The 20,702-nt window shown below is 40.8% G+C and overlaps 3 protein-coding genes across 11 annotated transcripts in view, besides 5 other annotated features; 2 read left to right on the forward strand and 1 right to left on the reverse strand.

Moving 5' to 3' along the window:
• The window catches only part of GALNT16 (polypeptide N-acetylgalactosaminyltransferase 16), a 126,707-nt gene extending 120,285 nt beyond the window's left edge, over positions 1-6,422 (forward strand). For both annotated transcript variants that reach the window (XR_007064036.1, XM_047431618.1), the window contains one exon: positions 6,131-6,422. The gene's annotated coding sequence lies outside the window, so the exon portion shown is untranslated. The remainder of the gene's footprint in view (positions 1-6,130) is intronic.
• On the reverse strand, positions 213-18,384 carry ERH (ERH mRNA splicing and mitosis factor). Its single transcript, NM_004450.3, has 4 exons — positions 18,316-18,384; positions 14,910-14,997; positions 7,048-7,168; positions 213-725 (listed from the first exon to the last, which is right to left on the reverse strand). The coding sequence occupies exons 1-4, from the start codon at positions 18,316-18,318 to the stop codon at positions 623-625; spliced, it is 315 nt and encodes a 104-aa protein (NP_004441.1). The 5' UTR covers positions 18,319-18,384; the 3' UTR covers positions 213-622.
• Positions 17,384-17,892: an enhancer, noted in NCBI's record as "NANOG-H3K27ac-H3K4me1 hESC enhancer chr14:69864016-69864524 (GRCh37/hg19 assembly coordinates)". NCBI's record gives its function as "activates a minimal SCP1, AML or CMV promoter by ChIP-STARR-seq in naive H9 embryonic stem cells {active_cell/tissue: H9 hESC(naive)}" and the evidence as "EXISTENCE:reporter gene assay evidence [ECO:0000049][PMID:30033119]".
• Positions 17,893-18,400: an enhancer, noted in NCBI's record as "NANOG-H3K27ac-H3K4me1 hESC enhancer chr14:69864525-69865032 (GRCh37/hg19 assembly coordinates)". NCBI's record gives its function as "activates a minimal SCP1, AML or CMV promoter by ChIP-STARR-seq in primed H9 embryonic stem cells {active_cell/tissue: H9 hESC(primed)}" and the evidence as "EXISTENCE:reporter gene assay evidence [ECO:0000049][PMID:30033119]".
• Positions 18,393-18,633: a silencer, noted in NCBI's record as "fragment chr14:69865025-69865265 (GRCh37/hg19 assembly coordinates)". NCBI's record gives its function as "represses an EF-1alpha promoter that drives an FKBP-Casp9 reporter gene in an ReSE screen in phorbol 12-myristate 13-acetate-treated (for megakaryocytic differentiation) K562 erythroleukemia cells {active_cell/tissue: K562(+PMA)}" and the evidence as "EXISTENCE:reporter gene assay evidence [ECO:0000049][PMID:32094911]".
• SLC39A9 (solute carrier family 39 member 9) overlaps positions 18,469-20,702 on the forward strand; it is a 64,007-nt gene continuing 61,773 nt past the window's right edge. For 4 of the 8 annotated variants that reach the window (NM_018375.5, NM_001252150.2, NM_001252148.2 and 1 more), the window contains exon 1: positions 18,777-19,550. In NM_018375.5, coding sequence (NP_060845.2) covers positions 19,455-19,550 — 96 coding nt within the window. In that variant the 5' untranslated portion in view covers positions 18,777-19,454. Of the gene's footprint in view, positions 18,689-18,776; positions 19,551-20,702 lie in introns of those variants that run through there. The other 4 variants (NM_001252152.2, XM_024449648.2, XM_047431550.1 and 1 more) reach the window with 2 other exon arrangements.
• Positions 18,602-19,801: an enhancer, noted in NCBI's record as "BRD4-independent group 4 enhancer chr14:69865234-69866433 (GRCh37/hg19 assembly coordinates)". NCBI's record gives its function as "activates an origin of replication core promoter dependent on BRD2, P300/CBP, MED14 and CDK7 cofactors, and independent of BRD4, by STARR-seq in HCT116 cells {active_cell/tissue: HCT116}" and the evidence as "EXISTENCE:reporter gene assay evidence [ECO:0000049][PMID:35650434]".
• Positions 18,730-19,069: an enhancer, noted in NCBI's record as "active region_8637". NCBI's record gives its function as "activates an Ori minimal core promoter by ATAC-STARR-seq in GM12878 lymphoblastoid cells {active_cell/tissue: GM12878}" and the evidence as "EXISTENCE:reporter gene assay evidence [ECO:0000049][PMID:35858748]".

Consider the following 20,702-nt stretch of genomic DNA (forward strand, 5'->3'; position numbering starts at 1 on the left):
CCTTGGAGCTATAATTAAGATTCATTTAATTATGCTGGAAAAGTGAGGTAAAAGTGTTATTAGCTTCACAGCAAAATGTGTTGCGCACTACTTAAACTTTCTTCAAATTCTTTGTGTAGCAGCTATTGGTTTTTAAACTTAAAATGAAAAAATGCTTTGCAAGAAAATTCAATGTTCAAAGACAAAAAAAAAAAAAGCACTCAGGGAGAAAATATAACTAAAGGACATTTATTTATTTTTACCAAGACTTTATCTTGAGGACATGGCTAAACTGCATTTCCACCCCCCACCCCATCTTGAAGAAGGGTTAGTATGTGAATGTTATAAAGTAGATATGAACAGTTGAAGGACTGGAACCAACATTAAGTGACGAAGAACAACTTCCATCTAAATCATCATAAAAATGTTTAAGTAAAAAAAAAAAAAGAAAGAGAAAGAAAAAGAGGAGGTAACGGGGGTTTCCGATTGAACAAGATCCTCACATTTCATCTAATACAGTCAATCTTGGCTAGAGTATAACAAAGTGGAAACAGGATTACTATGATACAAAACTTCCACTACAGCACGCTGTACACACCTGTGTTCCAAGCCCACCCCAACCCCCCCAGTGCTTCCAACACAATTATTTCCCAGCCTGTTGGGCCTGCCGACGAAGGAGCACGTAGATCTTCTCTTTAATCCAGTCTTTGTTATAAGGCTGGTATGTCTGGGTATCAGCTCGGTAACTGAGGAGAGAAAGGGAATAAGCAAAGTCACAGTGGTCAATCACTGCCAGGTGTTTAAATCCCCAAATTATAACTGCCCAATGATGGCATAGATGTGCACATTTCCAAAAATGAACTTAATGAAAAGCTGAAAGAGCTACTTACACAGTCGTTGAATTTTAAGTGACATGAACTTTATATCACCTAGTACAATCTTATAGTGGAAAAAGAAAACATGACTTAGAATTTTTAAGTTAAATGCCCAATATGTTACATATCTACTTCTTGACAGAGTATGACCAGAAACCATGTGTTCTTCCTCCTACATAGTTTCTATTTTTATGGTTCCTTTAGTGATTAAAAAACAACAACAAAAAAATTGGCTGGGTGCAGTGGCTCATGCCTGTAATCCCAGCACTTTGGGAGGCTGAGGCGGGTGATCACTTGAGGTCAGGAGTTCAAGACTAGCCTGGCCAACATGGTGAAACCTTGTCTCTACTAAAATACAAAAATTAGCTGGGCATGGTGGTGCACGCCTGTAGTCCTGCCTACTCAGGAGGCTGAGGCAAGGGAATTGCTTCAACCGGTGGAGGATGCAGTGAGCCGAGATCGTGCCACTGCACTCCTGTGAGTGAGACTCCATCTCAAAAAAACAAAAACAACAATACTAGAACAAACTTTAGATTTGCAATGTTTATTCTGAATTAACTAAAAAACCTTTAAAAAACATGTACTGGCAACAAAGATTTCTTGCTAATTTCCTTCCCCCTGTAAAGTATTAAGGAAATCTTAAACCTATATTTTAGGATTTGCTTTTTAAAATAAATAATGCTAGAGGCCTATGGAGAAGAATTATCAGAAGATACAGTAAGCTCCAAAATATCTCTAATCAGAACGAAAAGGAGTACACAGACTAGCATTAGCAGTAAAACTCCAATGGGACTGTGAGTAGTATCTAGTAAGATGTCACAGAGTACTGGGTGTCGCTTTAAATTCTTATCTGAATTAACTCATTTTTACAACCCTGTGAGTAGGTACAATTATCCTCACTTCCCACCACCCCCACCACCGACCCCTGCTTTTTTTTGAGACAGAATCTCACTCTGTAACTCAGTCTGGAGTGCAGTGGTGCCATCTTGGCTCACTGCAACCTCTGCCACCTGGGTTCACATGATTCTCCTGCCTCAGCCTCCTGAGTAGGTAAGACTATAGGTGTGTGCCACCACGTCCAGCTAATGTTTTGTATTTTTAGTAGAGACCAGGTTTCACTATGTTGGCCAGGTTGGTCTTGAACTCCTGACCCTCAAGTGATCCAGCCGCCTCGGCCGCCCAAAGTGCTGGGATTACAGGCGTGAGCCACCGCACCTGGCCTCCTTTTTCATAAATGAGAAACCAAGGCTTTAAAAAGTGAAGCAAGTTATTAGCTAGGTAATGCTGGACTGGAGATAGATTTTAAATACTCCTGACTCCAGAGTCCTCACTGTTAATCACTAAGTTAGAAACCTAAACTACAATTTTTGGCAAGGGAAATAAATTCCAAAGTAGGAATGCTTTATACAATTAACATCATATTCTTCCTCTGAACAGTAAGGTCACAATCTGGTTTATTAAAAATGTACAAGATTCCCATTTTTAAAAATGCTTAACCAAATTTAAAAATTCTAAAATTTAATTTTTTCTGAAAACTCTTTGTCCATGCTTCCTAATTAAATAAGCTCTAAGCTAGTCTACTGCAAAATGTAGCAGAAGAGACTATAACATTTATATTAACACTGGAAAATAACTTAAAAAGGAACAAAATTTCTCACAATTATCATATCTGGGTGGGACAGGCTTTGTTTATACCATTCCCCCCAACAAAAATCACTCTGGTTTGTGAACATTAAGGAATCCATCAACTTGCATGCAATTTTCCAACTCATCAAATAGTAGGCCAGGTGCCAGTGGCTCATGCCTGTAATCCCAGCACTTTGGGAGGCTGAGGCAGGCGGGCCACAATGTCAAGAGATCAAGACCATCCTGACCAACATTGTGAAACCCCGTCTCCACCAAAAAAAAAAAATACAAAAATTAGCTGGGCGTGGTGGCGCGCACCTGTAGTCCCAGCTACTCGGGAGGCTGAGGCAGGAGAATCGCTTGAACCCTGGCGACAGTGCAAGACTCTATCTCCAAAAGAAAAAAAAAAAAAAAGCAATAATGCCTTCTTTATGGAAAGCTGTGTGTCGATGGCTGTTAACTGGCACTTGAAAATGAGACAATTAAATGTTAAATACTTTAATAAAATGCCTAGTCATTGGCACAGATGAATCTTTTAACCTATTGTTATGGTCAATGAATGTAGGTTTATATAAGAACAGAAGCTGTGGGTCTGGGCAGTGAAATCAGAAATGTCTTCAGTGATAACTTCTCTTACTGATCAGGAATACCTCTTGTCATTATAATAACTGACAGTTTAAATGTTCTTTATGTCTCTAAGCAAACAAGAAAATACTGCATAATCAAAAGGGCATTATTTTCATCTTACAAAAAGCTTATTTAAAAAACATACAGATCAGAAAACTGGAAAAATCTGACTCTGACTTTAAGTATACGAAATACAAATTTTCATGCCTACATTTTATTATTAATGCATGGTCAGTTTGCTCTGGGTTTAGTCATGTTACAAAGTAGAATCTTATTTATTCCATTTCCACCTACGCTGTTTAAAAAGAATTAATTTAAAAAAGTCCTAGGTCACTGCCATGTAAATTTAATAGAAACTATGAGCACACAACCATCTACAAACCAAAAACGGACCCAGTCTCTGGTCTGAGGAGTAACGGCCCAAATCACAGGATGTGCTGTGGCAGTGGGTTACCTCTTTGGAAACAATACCTTATTTCTCCTGAATATTCAAAGAACAAAAAGGACATAACCAAAGTCACCTGGGGAAAATAGTTTTAAATCCTAAATTTGATTCTGAAAGTTTTTCAGAGGCCAAAAAATTTTCAACATTAGAAACAAACAAATAGTTACAGGTTTTCAAGCTATGATAATTTACGGTTTTTAACACTCTGAAACTACTAAAAAACCATAAATTATCATTAACCTCTCTTCTATATTTCTGGAAATACTGTAGGTGGGAAGAATTATCTAGGTAATAATTAAAGCTTTCCCCCTATGTTGCTTTAATATAGCAAATATTGTATTAAAAATCAGTTTAGTATGCTAGATATGGTTTCTAGTTTACATTTTAAAGTCTAATGCAGCCGGGCACAGTTGCTCATGCCTGTAATATCACTCCTTGGGGAGGCTGAGGAAGGAGGATCACTTGAGCCCAGGAGTTTGAGACCAGCCTGGGTAATATAGCAAGACCCTGTCTCTAAAATTTTTTTTTTATAAAGTCTAGTACAAAGTTAGAAAAGTTATGTTATGTCATTAATGACATACTTGTATATCATTAACATGTCACTTGTAACTGTTTTACTCTGCTCAATTTTCATATTGTTGAAAAAACCTCAACACCTTTTAAATCTCCCTTGAAATTTATAATTTATCTCACACGTAGACATTAAAATTCATATCATTCTACTCCTGGCAAATTTAAGAACATGCTTGTAATTAAAAATAAAACTCTATCCTGACTTCTTCAATCTAGTTGAAAAGGGAGTTGCTGCATATCTAATAATGCTGTGCTCAGCAAGCACTTGATCCTCACAAGGAGTCTTATGAACTAGATTTGTCTGAATTTTACAAATTAGCAAACTAAAGTTTAGCAATACAAAGCTGCCTTGTCAAAGGGAGCTAGCAAATGGTAGACCCAGGATTCAAACCCAGCTATGTCTAATTCTGCCACTCCAGCTAGCTCTTAACCACAGCCTCCCAAGACAAGTAAAACATGATCCTTTGCTTCAAGTTTACTTCCCACTTACTGGGAGTAAGTATGACATCCCAAAAGCGTCAGGATTACATCCTGAATGTTTCAGTAAGGTTCTTTTATAAAACCATAAAGACAACCATTAATTTTTAATCAATGCAGAATATAGCTCTGTAATATAAATAAGGGAAATAGAAAATTATCAATAATTTTAGAAAGCTATTCCTCAAATAACAACACAAGTGACGTGCATTTATATAACCAATATTTACTCAGCACTAATTATGTACCAGAGATGCAGCAGTGAACAAACACAAAGCAACTTCTTCTTAAATTCTATCAATTAATATACACATTATTGGTAATTTCATATCCAGTGGATGATTCTGTCAACACTTAGGCCTCCCAATTCCATGAAGTCTTTTCCTCTAATGATCTCATCTCCTACCCTCTCTTGGCCAGATCCCTAGACCTTGTCATTTCCAACTACTTCAATTTCCTAATTTCAAGCATGTCATTCTCTGATCACCACTTCCTAACACTCTAATGTGAGCAATCCTTGATCCAGTGGGACCTACAATGAACTGATCTACCTCTGTTTCCAGCACCTCCTCCTACACCCCCAATTAAAGCTCATGGTCATTCAGTCGTTGCTGTTGTCCTCATATATGCCCTCAACCTTTAGCAAAATCTTTACTCTCTACCTACTCCTCACCTGTAACCATCCAGGTGAGAGAGACTAGGAAAAAAATCCCATGATCACAATGACTGATTTCACTTTAAATCACTATCAGATAGGTACTTTGGAGGACACTTAATGCATCCCTGAATTAATTGCAGTTCCCTAATTCTTTCACCTTCCTAGCTTATTTCTTACTTTTCCACAAACCTGTAACACCTGTTTCAAATGATGTCCTTGCTCCTTATCTTTCTGAGATAACTGAAGCATACAGAAGATAATTCCCCCCAGCTCCCAAATTTGCCTGTCCTCCCTTTTTTATGATTGAACTGTCCAAGAGCCAATTTGAGCTATCAGTTTCTCCTTCTCTGGTACATCATCCCATCAGCCTGCAAACTTACCATTACTTTTCCCACTTAAAAAAAAGCAATTTCTTTCTCCAGCTACAACCCCATTTTTCTGTTCTTTCAAGCAAAATTCTTTAAATAAAAAAAAGGAAAAAAAAAAAAAAAGCAAGCCTGTAATGGCCACCTATAAATCCTCTCTTTTCATTCCCTTCCATACACTGAAATCTGTAAGCATTTTACTCCTGGCACTCTACCACAACCGTTCTGGAAGTCACCAAAGACTTCCACAGTGTCAAATCCAGGGGTCAATTAAATTCTCAGTCCTCACATATCTGTCCTATCAATGATATGACACACTTCTGCATTTGGCTTCCAGGATATCATTGCTCCCTGCTCCTCCAATCTCCTAAGACACTCTCCTTCACTCATTCCTCTGCAGCCTCAAAGGCTTCCTTAATGACTTCAAACATGCTAGGCACTCCTACTTCAGGACTTCTACACTAGCTGTCCCTCATCCCCTCTGTCTGGTATGTTTTTCCTATAGATGTCTGAATGGCTTAAAGTACCATGCAACATTCATTTGAATGTTCTGAGTGATCAAAGTGAAATGGCTACAACCGGAACACAATGAAGAGGTACAGAAAACAAAACTCAAACATCCCAAGGAAATGCGTGTTTTGGAACTTTTGGGGAGACAGCATGGTGCAGCCACATTCCATGATTGGCTCCAGTGGTGATCCAGGAAGTGCCTATGAGTAAGACTTGTATATTTCTCATCACTGCTCTTTCAACTTCTAGCACAGCACCTGACATGTAATAAATATTCAAGTATCTGATGATTGAGTATTGTATCATAAGGTGCTTCCATTTTCCTCGGTTAAATGAGCTGTATTTACACTCAATTTCTGTTCGCTAATGTAAAAAAGATTAGGTAAGTCTACAGTAACACTTTATGCTCCTTGTTAGTAATTGTCAGAAGCAGATTATCAATACAAACTATAACAAATATGTTAAAAAATCTCACTCTAACATACCAAAATATACGTACTTACACAGCGTAGGATTGAAATTAAATTTCAGCTATACGCATATTTAAGTTTTTGAAATGTCATGAAAAAAAGATAATCTTAGTTTTAATCCAAAACCAATGGCTTTAAGACAAAGACTGTAAAGGAAAAAAAAAATTAGGTATAAGGAACAAAGAAGAGGCACATGGAACTTCTGAATTAGGATCCTTTCTGGATACTAACTATATCAATTAGCAAAGTTATTTTTTTCTGTGCCTTTGGCTTTATGTTGCCAATCTCTTATTTCTGTAAGAGAAATATTAATTACTATACACTATGCAAATGCAAAGATCAGTATCAGGCACATAATTAGCTCCCAATACCATAAATCACCTCAAACAGACAGAAAAGCAATAGAAAATACAAGATAAAAGACATGTTGGCTAATACTTACACCAGGCAGCTGAGGTCTGCCAGATCATCGATGAAATCAAACAACTGACTGATGTCATATGTGATAGAGGGACTGTTGGGATTCATTCTTTTCAGATGTTCTTCATACATTTTACAAACACCTAAGAAAGGATAGGAAAAAAAGCAAAATCTTACAATCGCATACACTTCTAGATATGAGCAGTGCTTATGAGCTGTGCTATATGTTGATATCATATTTACTTTAATAAAGTTGGGCTGGGGAAAAGATGATAGATTGATGGCTTTTGATTATTGCCACTAGCAAATACTTTTTTATTTTATAAATTCACCAGGTCAGGTGTAGTGGCTTACGCCTGTAATCCCAGCTCTTTGGGAGGCTGAGGCAGGAGCATCACTTGAGCCCCACAGTTTAAGACCAGCCTGCCTGGGCAACACAGGGAGACCTCATCTCTACAAAAATTAAAAAATTAGCCAGGCGTGATGGCGTGTGCTTGTGGTCCCAGCTACCTGGGAAGCTGAGGTGGGAGAATCACTTGGCTGCAGTGAGCCGTGATTGCATCACTGCACTCCAGTCTGGGCAGCTGAGAAATTCACCACAATGTTGATGTAACTATTTTGTGTCTTAATAATAAAATGATTACTTCAAACCACTGGAGCTAAGGGGCTTTAAAGACTTGCCATCTGATGGCTCAAACAAATAACACTGTGGGTCTTAACAGGTTTTTCAGTAATTCTTCCTAAAGCCACAGAGCAAAAAAAAAAAAAAAATTGGCAACAAGGAAAGAGATTATCCTAATGTATATTTAAGATCCTAGACTAGGCCGGGCACAGTGGCTCACGCCTGTAATCCCAGCACTTTGGGAGGCCAAGGCGGGCGGATCACGAGGTCAGGAGATAGAGACCATCCTGGCCAACACAGTGAAACCCTGTCTCTACTAAAAAAATACAAAAAATTAGCCAGGCATGGTGGCAGGCACCTGTAGCCCCAGCTACTCGGGAGGCTGAAGCAGGAGAATGGCATGAACCTGGGAGGTGGAGATTGCAGTGAGCCGAGATCGGCCACTGCACTCCAGCCCGGGTGACAGAGCAAGACTCTGTCTCAAACAAACAAACAAACAAAAAATCCTAGACTATGGATTCAGACAGACTTTAGTTCCAACTCTGCCCCTGTCAAACCGAGGACAAACGACGCCATTCCCTGAACCACACCTGTCAAACAGAGTTAAGAGTGCCTCTTCATAGAATTGTGAGGTTTATTTGAAATAATACACATAAAGCATTAGCACATGAACAAGGATATAAGTACTTAAATATAATAAAAAAGATAATGAGCAAAATCATTAATAGCAAGCCCACATTACTAATTATAATTAGCTATAGAGTATATTATCTATTTAGTTTTTATTCAATAATACTCTCCTTTTTTTTTTCTTTGAGATGGAGTTTTGCTCTTGTTGCCCAGGCTGGAATGCAATGATGAGATCTTGGCTCACTGCAACCTCCGCCTCCTGGGTTCAAGCGATTCTCCTGCCTCAGCCCCCCAAGTAGCTGGGATTACAGGCACCCGCCACCACACCCAGCTAACTTTTTGTATTTTTAGTAGAGACGGGGTTTTACCATGTTGGCCAGGCTGATCTTGAACTCCTGACCTCAGGTGATCAGCGTGCCTCAGCCTCCCAAAGGGCTGGGATTACAGGCTTGAGCCATCGTGCCCGGCCTGATACTCTCCTTTCTTATTCCCACAAAAGGAGAATACACCTTTTCAGTCTATTCCCGCTGTCAACTATTTTAAGACTACTATGATGAATGGCTAAGTGACATAAATGCTAGTTATCTAGAAAAAACATGTCCTATACTGTATACATAAGCCTTTTATTAGCTCCAAATTAACTTTATAAATTTCCTAATAAAAACACTATTCAACCACAGAACTATTAAACAACTATCTTAGGGCTTTTTATTGCTACTGGCATACTACATTGTGATCACAGAATATCACCCATGAGTTAATGAATGGAAAGAAAATAAAAACTAGGAAAATAAATTCGTATATGTTAAAAAGGCATTGACCCACAGTTATACTTTTTTTTTTTGAGATGGATTTTTTGCTCTTGTTGCCCAGGCTGGAGTGCATTGGCACAATCTCGGCTCACTGCAACCTCTGCCTCCCGGATTCAAGCGATTCTCTTGCCTCAGGCTCAGCCTCCCGAGTAGCTGAGATTACAGGTGTGTGCCACCACACCCGGCTAATTTTTGTATTTTTAGTAGAGACGGGGTTTTGCGATTTTGGCCAGGCTGGTCTTGAACTCTTGACCTCAGGTGATCCACCCGCGTCGGCCTCCCAAAGTGCTGGGATTACAGGCATAAGCCACCATGCCCGGCCTCCATTATACTTAATGGTTAAAGACGGGATGCTTTTCTGTTAAGATTAGGAAGAATACCAGAATATTTATTGCGCTACTTGTATTCAACATTGTACTAGAAGTTCTAGCCAGGGCAATTAGGCAAGAAAAAGAGATAACAGGCCTTCAGATTGGAAAGGAAGAAGTACAGCCATCATTATTTGCAGATGACATTATCTTACAGATATAAAATCCTAAGGAAACAATAAAAATCTATTAGAACTAAGAAATGAGTACAGCAAGGTTGCAGGATATAGGATTGGTATATGAAAATAAATTTTATTTCTATGCCTTAACAACAAGTCTGAAAATAAAATTAAGAAAACTCCATTTATAACAGCGTAAAAAAGAATAAAATTCTTAGAAATAAACGAAACAAAAGTAGTACAAAACGTGTACACCCTACACTATAAAATGTCATGGAAGGACTCTTTTCTTTCCCTTGAGACACAGTCTCATTCTGTTGCCCAGGCTGGAGTGCAGTGGCCCAATTGCAGCTCACTGCAGCCTTGACCTCTTAAGTTCAAGTGATCCTCCCAAGGATCTGTGACTACAGGTACGCGCCACCATGCCCAGCTAATTTTTGTACTTTTTGGAGAGCAGGGGTTTCATCATGTTGCCCAGGCTAGTCTCAAACTCCTGGGCTCAAGCAATCCGCTCACCTTGGCCTCCCAAAGTCCTGGGATAACAGGTGTGAGCCACCACGCCATGCAGAAAGTAAAGCCACCACACCATGCTTAATAAATGGAAAGACATCCCATGTTCATGAGTTGGAAGACCTGATGCCAATACTCCCTCAGATGATCTACGGATTCAACGCAATTCCCATAAAAATCCAAGCTGTTTTTGCAGAAACCAACAAGCTAATCCTAAGTTTGACACAGAAATGCAGGAGACCCAAGACAGCCAAAATAATCTTGAAAAAGAAAAACACTGGAGGATTCAAACTTCCTGATTTCAAAACTTACTATGAAACTACTCCAATCAAGACAATATGGTATTGGCATCAGGATAGGTATCTACATCAATGGAACAGAAATGAGAGTCCAGAAACAAACCCTCACATTTATGGTCAACTGCTTTTTGACAAGCATGCCAAAACAATTCAACAAAGAACAGTATTTTCAACAAATGATGCTAGGACAACAGGATAGTCACATGTGAAAGAATGAAGTTGGACACATCTCTACAACAGACCAGAGACTTAAAAGTAGGAGCCCAAACTATAAGACCCATAGAAAAAAATAAAGGCATTAATATTTGTGACCTTGGATAAACCAATGGTTTCTTAGATATGACACCAAAAACACAAAAATATGCAAGTTAAAGTTTATAAAAATAAAAAACTTTTGTGCTCCAAAAGACACTATTAAGAAAGTGAGAAGACACCACAAACGGGGAGAAAACCTTTATAAAACATCTATCTGATAAAGGACTAATGTCTAAAAATATACAAAGAACTCCTAAAACTTAACCATAATCACTCAATGAAAAATAGGCAGAAGATCTGGATACCTCAATAAAGATGCAGATGGCAAATAAGCACATGAAAAGATGACATTGTATGTCATTAGGGAATTGCAAATTAAAACAATAAGATACCTTAGAATGGCTAAAATCTAAATCAGTGACAACACCAAATGCTGGTAAGGATGTGGAACAGAAACTCATTCACGCTGGTGGGAATGCAAAATGGTCCTGCCACGTCTGAAGACAGTTTGGCAGTTTCTGACAAAGCTAAACATACTTGTACCACATAATCTAGCAATCACTCTCCTACGTATTTACGCAAATGAGCTGAAAACTTAGGTCCACACAAAAGCCTACACAGAAATGTTTATAGCAGCTTTATTCATAATTGCCAAAAAATAGAAGCAACCAAGATGCTCTTCAATAAGTGAATGGATAACCAAACCATGGTACATTCATTCAAGGGAATATTATTCAGCAATAAAAAGAAATCAGCTATGCAGCCACACACACAAAAAGTAAGAACCATAAAAGCATACTGCTAGGTTGGCCAGGCATGGGGGCTCATGCCTGTGATCCCCAGACTTTGGGAGGCTGAGGTGGACGGATCACTTGAGGTCAGGAGTTTGAGACCAGCCTGGCCTACACAGTAAAACCCGTCTCTACTAAAAATACAAAAAAAGGTAGCCAGGCATGGTGGCGCAGGCCTGTAATCCCAGCTACTTGGGTGGCTGAGGCAGGAGAATCGCTTGAACCAGGGAGGCAGAGGTTGCAGTGAGCTGAGATTACGTCACAGCATTCCAGCCTGGGTGACAGAGTAAGACTCTGTCTCGCACGCCAAAAAAAAAAAAAAAAAAAAAAAAAAAGCATATTGCTAGGTTAAAGCAGCCAGTCTGAAAAGGCTTCATACTCCGTAACTCTAACATGACATTCCAGAAAAGGCAAAACTACAGATATGGTAAAAAGATCAGGGGTTTGGGGGTGGTGGCAGGGAAGGAGGTATAGGTGGAGCAATGGGGATTTCTGGTAGTGAAACTACTCTGTATGATACAGTAAAGGTAGATACACGTAATTATACATGTCAAAACCCACAGAATGTTCAACACATACAGTAAACCCTAACATAAACTGCGAACTTTAGTTAATAATAATCTATGAATATTAATTCACCAATCCCAACAAGTGTAATCAGACTAATAGAAGATGCACTAATAGGGGAAACTAAGAAGGGGAGGAAAGAAGGCGTATGCTGGAGCTCTGTACTTTCCAAACAATTTTCCCATAAGCCTAAAACTGCTCTAAAAACATGGTCTTAAATAAAGTCTTTAACTGCTCTTAAAAAAAAGGGGGGAGGAAAAAAATGCTCTGATCTACAGGGGAATATTTACTACAAGAAAAAAAAAAAAAGAATAATAAAATTACCATTTGGCAACCACATCATGTGAGAACTTATTTAATAATTATTTTAACATTTTTTTGTTTTAGTTTTTTAAATGGGAAATAAATCACCACTTTTAATTTTTAGAAAAAGAGCTACCAAGTCATGAAAAGACATGGGGGAAACATAATAAATGCACATTGCTAAGTAAAAAAAGCCAGTTAAGAAAAAGCCACACACGATAATGATTCCAACTATATGACATTCTGGAAAAGACAAAACTATGGAGACAGTAAAAAGACCAATGGTTCCCAGAGGTTGAGGGTGGGGTAGGAGGGGATGAATAGGTAGAGCACAAGAAATGTTTAGGGCAGGGCAGTGAAACCATTCTGTGTGATGCTGTAATGGCGGACACATGACACTGCGCATTTGGGAAAATCCACAGTAATGTAGGACATAAGAATGAAACCTAGTATGAACTATGAACTTTACTTAATGACAATGTATCAGTAATGAATACTGGTTCACCACTGTTACAAATGCACCACACCAGTGAAATTCATTAATAATAGGGGAAATTGTGTAGGGGTGAAGAAAGAGAGTAATATCGGAAAAACTGTAGTTTCTGTTCAATTTTTCTAGAACCCTGAAACTGCCCTGAGAAATAAGAGTATTGCAGAATCAAAGACCAAACATGATAATGTAGGTTAGGTAACAATTTGCTAAGAGAGCCTGCATACAAAATCTACATCAATAGCAGGCAGAAATGTCAGCAGAGAAATGGATCTGTAAAGAGATGAAGAAAAAAATGCCATGTTCTTCTTTAAGAATTAGAGTAGATGGCCTGGAGTGGTGGCTCACGCCTGTAATCCCAGCACTTTGGGAAGCCGAGGTGGGTGGATCACTTGAGGTCAGGAGTTCGGGACCAGCCTGGCCAACGTGGCGAAACCCTGTCTTTACTAAAAATACAAAAATTAGCTGGGCGTGGTGGCACACACCTGTAGTCCCAGCTACTGAGGAGACTGAGGAAGGAGAATCATTTGAACCAAGAAGGCAGAAGTTGCAGTGAGCTGAGATGCACCACTGCACTCCAGCCTGGGCGACAGAGTGAGACTCTGTCTCAAAAAACAAAAAGAAACAAAGACACCTGCACTCATACGTTTACGGCAGTACTATACACAACAGCAAAGTCATGGAATCAACTACGTATCCATCAATGGATGACTAGACAAAGGAAATGTGGTGTATGAGAATGCATGCACACACATCCCATGGAATACTACTCAGCTATTAAAAAAAGAATAAAACCATGTCTTTGCAGCAACATGGATGGAATTGGAGGTCATTATCTCAAGTGAAGTAACTCAGAAAGTCAAACATTTAATGTTCTCATTTATTAGTGGAGGCTAAATGATGTGTGCACATGGACAGACAGAGTGGAATAACTGACACTGGAGACTACAAAAGGTGGGAGAATGGTGAGGGATGAAAAATCACTACTGCGTACAATGTACACCAGGTGATGGCTACAATAAAAGCCCAGACTTGGTTGGCGCGGTGGCTCATGCTTGTAATCCCAGAACTTTGGGAGGCTAAGGCAGGAGAACTGCCTGAGGCTAGAAGTCTGAGACCAACATGTGCAACACAGTGACCCCATCTCTATAAAAAAACCAAAAAATTAGCCAGGTGTGGCGGCAGGTGCCTCTAGTCCCAGCTATTTGGGAGGCTGAGGCAGGAGGACTGCTTGAGCCCAGGAAACTGAGACTGCAATAAGCCATTATCACCACTGTACCCCAGCCTGGGTGACAGAGCAAGACCCCGTGTCTTAAGGAAAAAAAAAAAAAGGCCCAGACTTTACTACTATGCCATATATCTATATAAGAAGACTACACTTGTATCCCTTAAATCTATTAAAACAACCTATTAAAAACAGACAGACACACAAGCCTATAGTGTTTGAGCTTAACCAGAATATATAAGGGATACCTGTAAAATATTTCCATACTGTAACAAAATAACATGTGACAAATAAGAAGAGAATATTTATAAAACAACAAGCAGCTCTGGAAAGTCACTCATTATATACATTAGTTTAAAAAAAAAAAACACCTAATACTTGTAGCAAGGAGGATACTATATACATAATTAATGTTTAAAATGTTCAACCGGCCAAGGCGGATTACTTGAGGTCAGGAGCTCGAGACCAGCCTGGCCAACATGGTGAAACCCCATCTCTACTAAATACACAAAAAATTATCTGGGTGTGGTGGCCCATGCCTGTAGTCCCAGCTACTTGGGAGGCTGAGGCACAAGAGAATCACTTGAACCTGGGGGGCGGAGGTTGCGTAAGCCGAGATCGCATTACTGCACTCCAGTCTGGGTGATAGAGCGAGACTCTGTCTCAAATAATACATAAATAAACAAACAAATAAATAAAATGTTCAATAATTATGGTCCATCCTAAATATCTGCTTTCCCTCCTAAAATTAGCAATTCAATAAATTTGGAGGGTTGGAAGTGATAAAGGCAGGGCCTGGGGTGGATGGACTATTAAAAAAAAAAAATTTGGAGGGGAAAAACCCAGTTCCTAAATGAGACATTTTTCTACCCCTTGATTAGTGTTAAACTCACCTTCCATGCATTCATTCACAGATTCGTAGTCAGCATAAGTTCTGCCTTCTGGCCTCTTGGTAGGCTGTACCAGCAAAATGGTGTGAGACTGCAGGGGAAAACATGATTTCAATATAAGTTTCTATTTGAGAAATTCATAGTATGATAAAAAAAAATCCCCATTTGTAATGCAATAATGATTGCTAGTTATTAAAATGTAATTAGAGAGGCCAGGCATGGCATCCCATGCCTATAATCCTCATCCTCTGGGAGGCTGAGAGGGGGAAAATCACTTGAGGCCAGAAGCTTGAGACCAACCTGGGCAACATAGCAAGACCCTGTCTCTACAAAAAAATAAAATTTGCCGGGTGCATGCCTGTAGTCCCAGCACTTTGGAAGTCTAAGGCAGGAGGATTCCTTGAGCCCAGGAGGCTGAGACTGCAGTGTGCCATGATCACACCATTGCATCGGAGAGTGAGGCCCTATCTCTTAAAAGAAAAAAAAAAGTCATTAGGATACTTTTCCCACAAAAATATTGATGTCTTAGTCTAAGTATAGTATCTAGCTGGATTCACAACTCTGCTGTACGGTCTCCCTAAGTCTCCCAGTCCTACCGTACTTACTGCCTACAAGTAATCAGTATAAGCTACCTTGCCCTCCTTTTCCTTTTCTATCTTTTCTTCCCAACTAAATTATAAACCTGCTTAGGTTTTCTGTCTCCAGTGGTCACTTTCCATCTTTAATGCTCTTAAGTCACTAATAAAAACTCAGATGGGCTGATGAAAGGAAACAAAAGGGGAAATAGTATAATAATCACAAGCATGGTTTCAACTTAAGCTTTTTTTCCAACCTCAGCGTAAGAGCAAAGTCACATTTTATCCAGGGGTTAGACTTAACATTAAAGCAGTAGATAAATTAGCAATATAAACATATCATAAGAATTACCCTTAAAAATCCATTAAACTATTCACCTAGTAGATGACTTGCCTTACTGGGCTTTCTCATACCAAAATCACATATTAGAATCACACAGAAAGTTAGGTCATCACACTATGAGAAATGTGAAATAATGCCCATAGCAGACAGACTTGTCTTCCACTTCGTGCTCACTGGGAAACATGTTTTTGTTAGTGATCAGTCACTAACAAATCAATCTCAGTGTTTTCTCAACGTGGGCTCTATTACCTTTTGGGTTGACTGATTCTTTGTTACAAATGTCCCTTGGGGAGCAAAAAATCTCATCCAGCTGAGAATTCACTGGTCTGTTGAAAATATGACCCATCCAATTTTCTGCTACATGTGTAAGGTTAATTAAATGCAAGTATGATGCAACTCCACTGTAAATCCAGTCCCAAATCAAACTATTCACCTTTTTCCTTCTCTTCTGCTGTACTAGTATTTTTCAGCCAAAAACCAGAAAACAAAAATTTCCTAACAGGAACCCTAAACTGTTTTGGAATAACATAATTTTTTTTTGGAGACAGTTTTGTTCCTGTTGCCCAGGCTGGAGCGCAAAGGCGCGATCTCAGCTCACCGCAACCTCTGCTTTCCGGGTTCAAGCGAATCTTCTGCTTCAGCCTCCCAAGTAGCTGGGATTACAGGCATGCACCACCATGCTCGGCTAATTTTGTCTTTTTAGTAGAGATGGGGTTTCTCCATGTTGGTCAGACTGGTCTTGAACTCCCGACCTCAGGTGATCTGCCTGCCTCGGCCTCCCAAAGTGCTGGGATTACAGGCGTGAGCCACCGCGCCTGGACAAAATGATCAGAATTTTTAACCATCAAATTGGAACAGAAATAGCTGAAGCCCAGACTTTCTGAATAAACAATGGAAAAATAGTACATTTAACATGACATGCAAAACCAAGGGTTATCATACCCTTCTCTCCCCATCAAGAACTAAACCACTTTGACTAAAAGTTTCAGAGGGTTTGACATAAAAACGGAACTTGGTGACAAGAGACGAAGGATTAACTCTCACCTGTAATAACCTGAGCAGTCAAAGCCTTTGTTAAATCGATTTAAAAGCCACAGAAAGCATCATATTAGATTATTTGTTATACAGAAGTCTTTGTAAGCTAGCTACTCAAAAAGTTTCAACGAGTCATTTAAGAAAAAATAATTTTGTAGAAACCACGTGCATTCTTGCAACAGAGGTTGCCCTATACACTAGCTATCTCAACTGCTACTATAATAATTGTATTCCAATTCTAATGCAAATTAAAGGACTAATTTGAAAGGGTAAGAATGGAAAAAGCTATACAGCATGTTGCTTTTTATATCTAGTCTTAAAATGAACACCGGGCAAAGTTTACTATTTTCAGTACTTACTGCCCAAAGACAAGGATTAAAAATCACTAAGAACATAACATGATACATTTTAAAAACTGTGGTCAAGTGGTTATCATTTTTAAATGGCAATGCTTTCCTGCTCAAATTCTTTACAGATTATACCACCTCTCAAGCCAGTTTTGGTCACTTTCTTCGAATTGGAGCTTACTGATCATCCCGGTTGGGTTCTAATAGAGCTGGTCTCTGAGCTGAGCCTACTTTTCAGCCTCCAGCCCCAAGAGGATATAAATACAGATAAGTACAGGATCGAGGGCTGAGGGACGCGCCACACGCAATACCTAGAGGTCTCAAAAACAGGAAAAAAAAAAAAAAGGCAGAGCACAGGAAAACGAAAGCTGAAAAAACACTGCAAAGCAAATACGTCCTCTCCTGGCCCACATGCTGGGTATAGCTGGATCTGTCAGCTTCGAGAATAGTTAGACAACCCTGGCCCATTGTTCCTACAGCAGGCTAGAGCATTTGGAGGGAAAAATACCATATCCGGCAGGGCCCGGTGGCTCACGCCTGTAATCCCAGCACTTTGGGATGCCGAGGCGGGTGGATTGCTTGAGGTCAGGAGTTCGAGACCAGCCTGGCCAACATGGTGAAACGCCGTCTCTGCTAAAATAAAAAAATTAGCCGAGCGAGGTGGCGGGCGCCTGTAATCCCAGCTACTAGGGAGGCTGAGACAGGAGAATTGCTTCAACCCAGGAGGCAGAGGTTGCAGGGGTCTGAGATCCCGCCACTGCACTCCAGCCTGGGCGATAGAGTGAGACTCTCTATCTCAAAAAACAAAACACCTCCCCCACGTCTCCCTCTACCGAGTAACAATCGGGAGAGAGTTCATCCTCAGGCCCAAGGCACGCCGGACCCGAGCGAGCAGGCGGGCGCGCAACCGCAGGGCGGACCGGGGCTCCGAGGCCTAGAGTCAGGCCTGGCGTCCCTGCGGCGGGAAGAAGGGTCAATCCACCGACTAGAGTGGCGGGGAGCATCACGCGGCGCTGCATGGGGCTCGTGGGGAGGGGAAAACGTATGGGGCTGGGGTCGCTCTGGAGGCCGGGGACTCGGACTCGGGTAGCCGCGGAGGCCTTTCTCACCATCGCGCCAAACTCTCTTCGCTACAGCAGCTGCCGACACCGCCGCCGTTACACGAGCTTAACTACAACGCCGCTAACAGCCAATCCTCGCGAGAGGAGCCGCCGGAAGTCGTCGAAAGTGCAACGCAAAAGAGCCTTTTGGATCATAGAGGCACAGTCACTTCCGGCAGCTAGAGCAGCTACTGACTCTGTTTCAGCCATCTTCGATAAAGGCAAAAAGGTAAGGGAAAGTTTCCAAGCTTTAGGAAGAATTATTTTTTTTCAAGACGCTGTCTTCCGTACTTTCGTTATTAAACATACGGCTCAAGTGATCACCGGTATAGACAGTGACATCAGACATCTTTCATTAGCCCTACTCAAAAATGGCGGCAACGTAAGTATCCTGGGCCGGAGGTCGGTTGTAACCCGGAAGTGCCTTTGTAAAGGAGGGGGTGGTTAGACAATCCGGAAGTGGATGGAATGAAGAGATGCCACTTGGCGGCCATGGCAGCTGTAGTATCGGCGACTCCGGGTCAAGGCCCGGTCGAGTGCAGTACCATGGGCAGCACCGGGTATAGGGCAGAGACAGCTTTGTGTCAACTTTGCTGCTGAACCCCTAGGACCCATCGTTAGAGACCTGCAGGACTCCTTTCCTCATCCCAGGCTCGGAGGAGAGTTTGCTGGGACTGGTGGGCTGGTTTCCTGCTCTGGGGGGCGGATCACCTTCGGGGCCGCCTCTTGGAGACAGGGGCGCCTAGGGAACGAACAGGTTCGCTTGAGTCACTTACCCGCCGCCGCCTAAGACATTGTGCCACCCTCAATCCGACAATCGAAGAAATCGATCATTCGCACATTTTCCCCATTGACTTTTCCCATCTCTGTTAACCCACGAGAATCTAATGACTGGCATCTGAGAACCCAGAGCCTGGGACCTTAGATTGCTGTAAGCTTTCTCTGGTGCTAATATCAGCAAAAAGGGTCTGTTGCCGGGTACGTTCAAGAGGAAGGTGCCTCGTGAACACATCTGCTGGTGGGAAGGCCTAAAGAACTGGAAAGCCCACTCTCTTGGAACCACCACACCTGTTTAAAGAACCTAAGCACCATTTAAAGCCACTGGAAATTTGTTGTCTAGTGGTTGTGGGTGAATAAAGGAGGGCAGAATGGATGATTTCATCTCCATTAGCCTGCTGTCTCTGGCTATGTTGGTGGGATGTTACGTGGCCGGAATCATTCCCTTGGCTGTTAATTTCTCAGAGGTAAGAAATTCTCAATTTTCTGTCAGCTGTCAGGATGGCTGTGAGATAGTAGTTTTAGTTGCAAAGGGAAGCTGCTTCCCTAGTTAAATCTCAAAGCTGAAGGTCTCATTAAGAAAGACTATCTTTTTTAAAAGATACATGACACTTAATAATAGAAAGAAACCTCATATTCATTAGTGGAATTCTTAACCTGGGGTGGATAGATATTCCACGGAAGATCCTGGAGTATTCTGAATCCCCTAGAATTGCTTACAAAAATTTGAGGTTCTGTGCATTTACCTGGAGAGAGGCACCATAACATTTCTTTTGATTCTCAGAGGTTTCATGGAATCAAGATTCCAGATTGTTATCAAGAAAATAAATGGAGGGCTGGGCGCGGTGGCTCACGCCTGTAATCTCAGCACTTTGGGAGGCTGAGGTGGAAGGATCGCTTGGGCCCAGGAGTTCTAGACCAGCCTGGGCAACGTGGCGGGACTTTGTCCCTACAAATGAGGCTGAGGCAGGAGGATCGCTTGACCCCAAGTGGTTGAGGCTGCAGTGAGCCGTGTTTGGGCCACTGCACTCCAGCCTGGACAGCAGAGTGAGATCCTGTCTCCAAAAAAGAAAAAAAAAGAAATGGAGAATGTTATTTTTCTACATGAACTGAAATCAATATGATAACTTCCTTTTGAGAAAGTCAAACACACCTTTCTGAGGAAAGCTGTTTTGTTTTTTGGATGTCTGTACTAGAATGAATGTAAGAAAAAACTAAGATTGTTCTTAACTCACATTTCCTTTTAAAGAAGGGGAGCCTTGGAATTGATATTCTGAAGTTGTTTCAAATCTATTTGCTTAGCAATGAATTTTTGGTTAATACGTTTTGACATTTTCGTTAATTTGATTGGCACCTTGAACAGATGTTAAGCGAGGGTCCCGGGAAGAGGGATAGATGAAAGCACTGTTCAGTGAACATGCTGATAGGTCCTTTAGGTAGGCAAAAGGAATTCACGAAGTGCACAGCGTTCAAAGATTTAGGGGGGAAAAACTACTACATTCAAAGGGAACAAGATTTCATGAGTTTGTCCTAGAGTTCAGCAGTAAAATAGGCCCTAGTTTCAGTGCCATTCCTGAAAGTACTTTCAAAGGAGGCCTGAAGTAGAAAGGAAAGGTATA

The sequence above is a fragment of the Homo sapiens genome, chromosome 14, assembly GCF_000001405.40.
Source record: "Homo sapiens chromosome 14, GRCh38.p14 Primary Assembly".
NCBI lineage: Eukaryota > Metazoa > Chordata > Mammalia > Primates > Hominidae > Homo > Homo sapiens.

Coding starts and splice junctions, on each gene's coding strand:
- ERH (NM_004450.3), bottom strand. Junction 7,169..14,909: donor TGTGAATGAATGCATGGAAG/GTGAGTTTAACA, acceptor ATCCTTTCTTAG/GTGTTTGTAAAATGTATGAA. Junction 726..7,047: donor GCAGACCTCAGCTGCCTGGT/GTAAGTATTAGC, acceptor TTCTCTCCTCAG/TTACCGAGCTGATACCCAGA.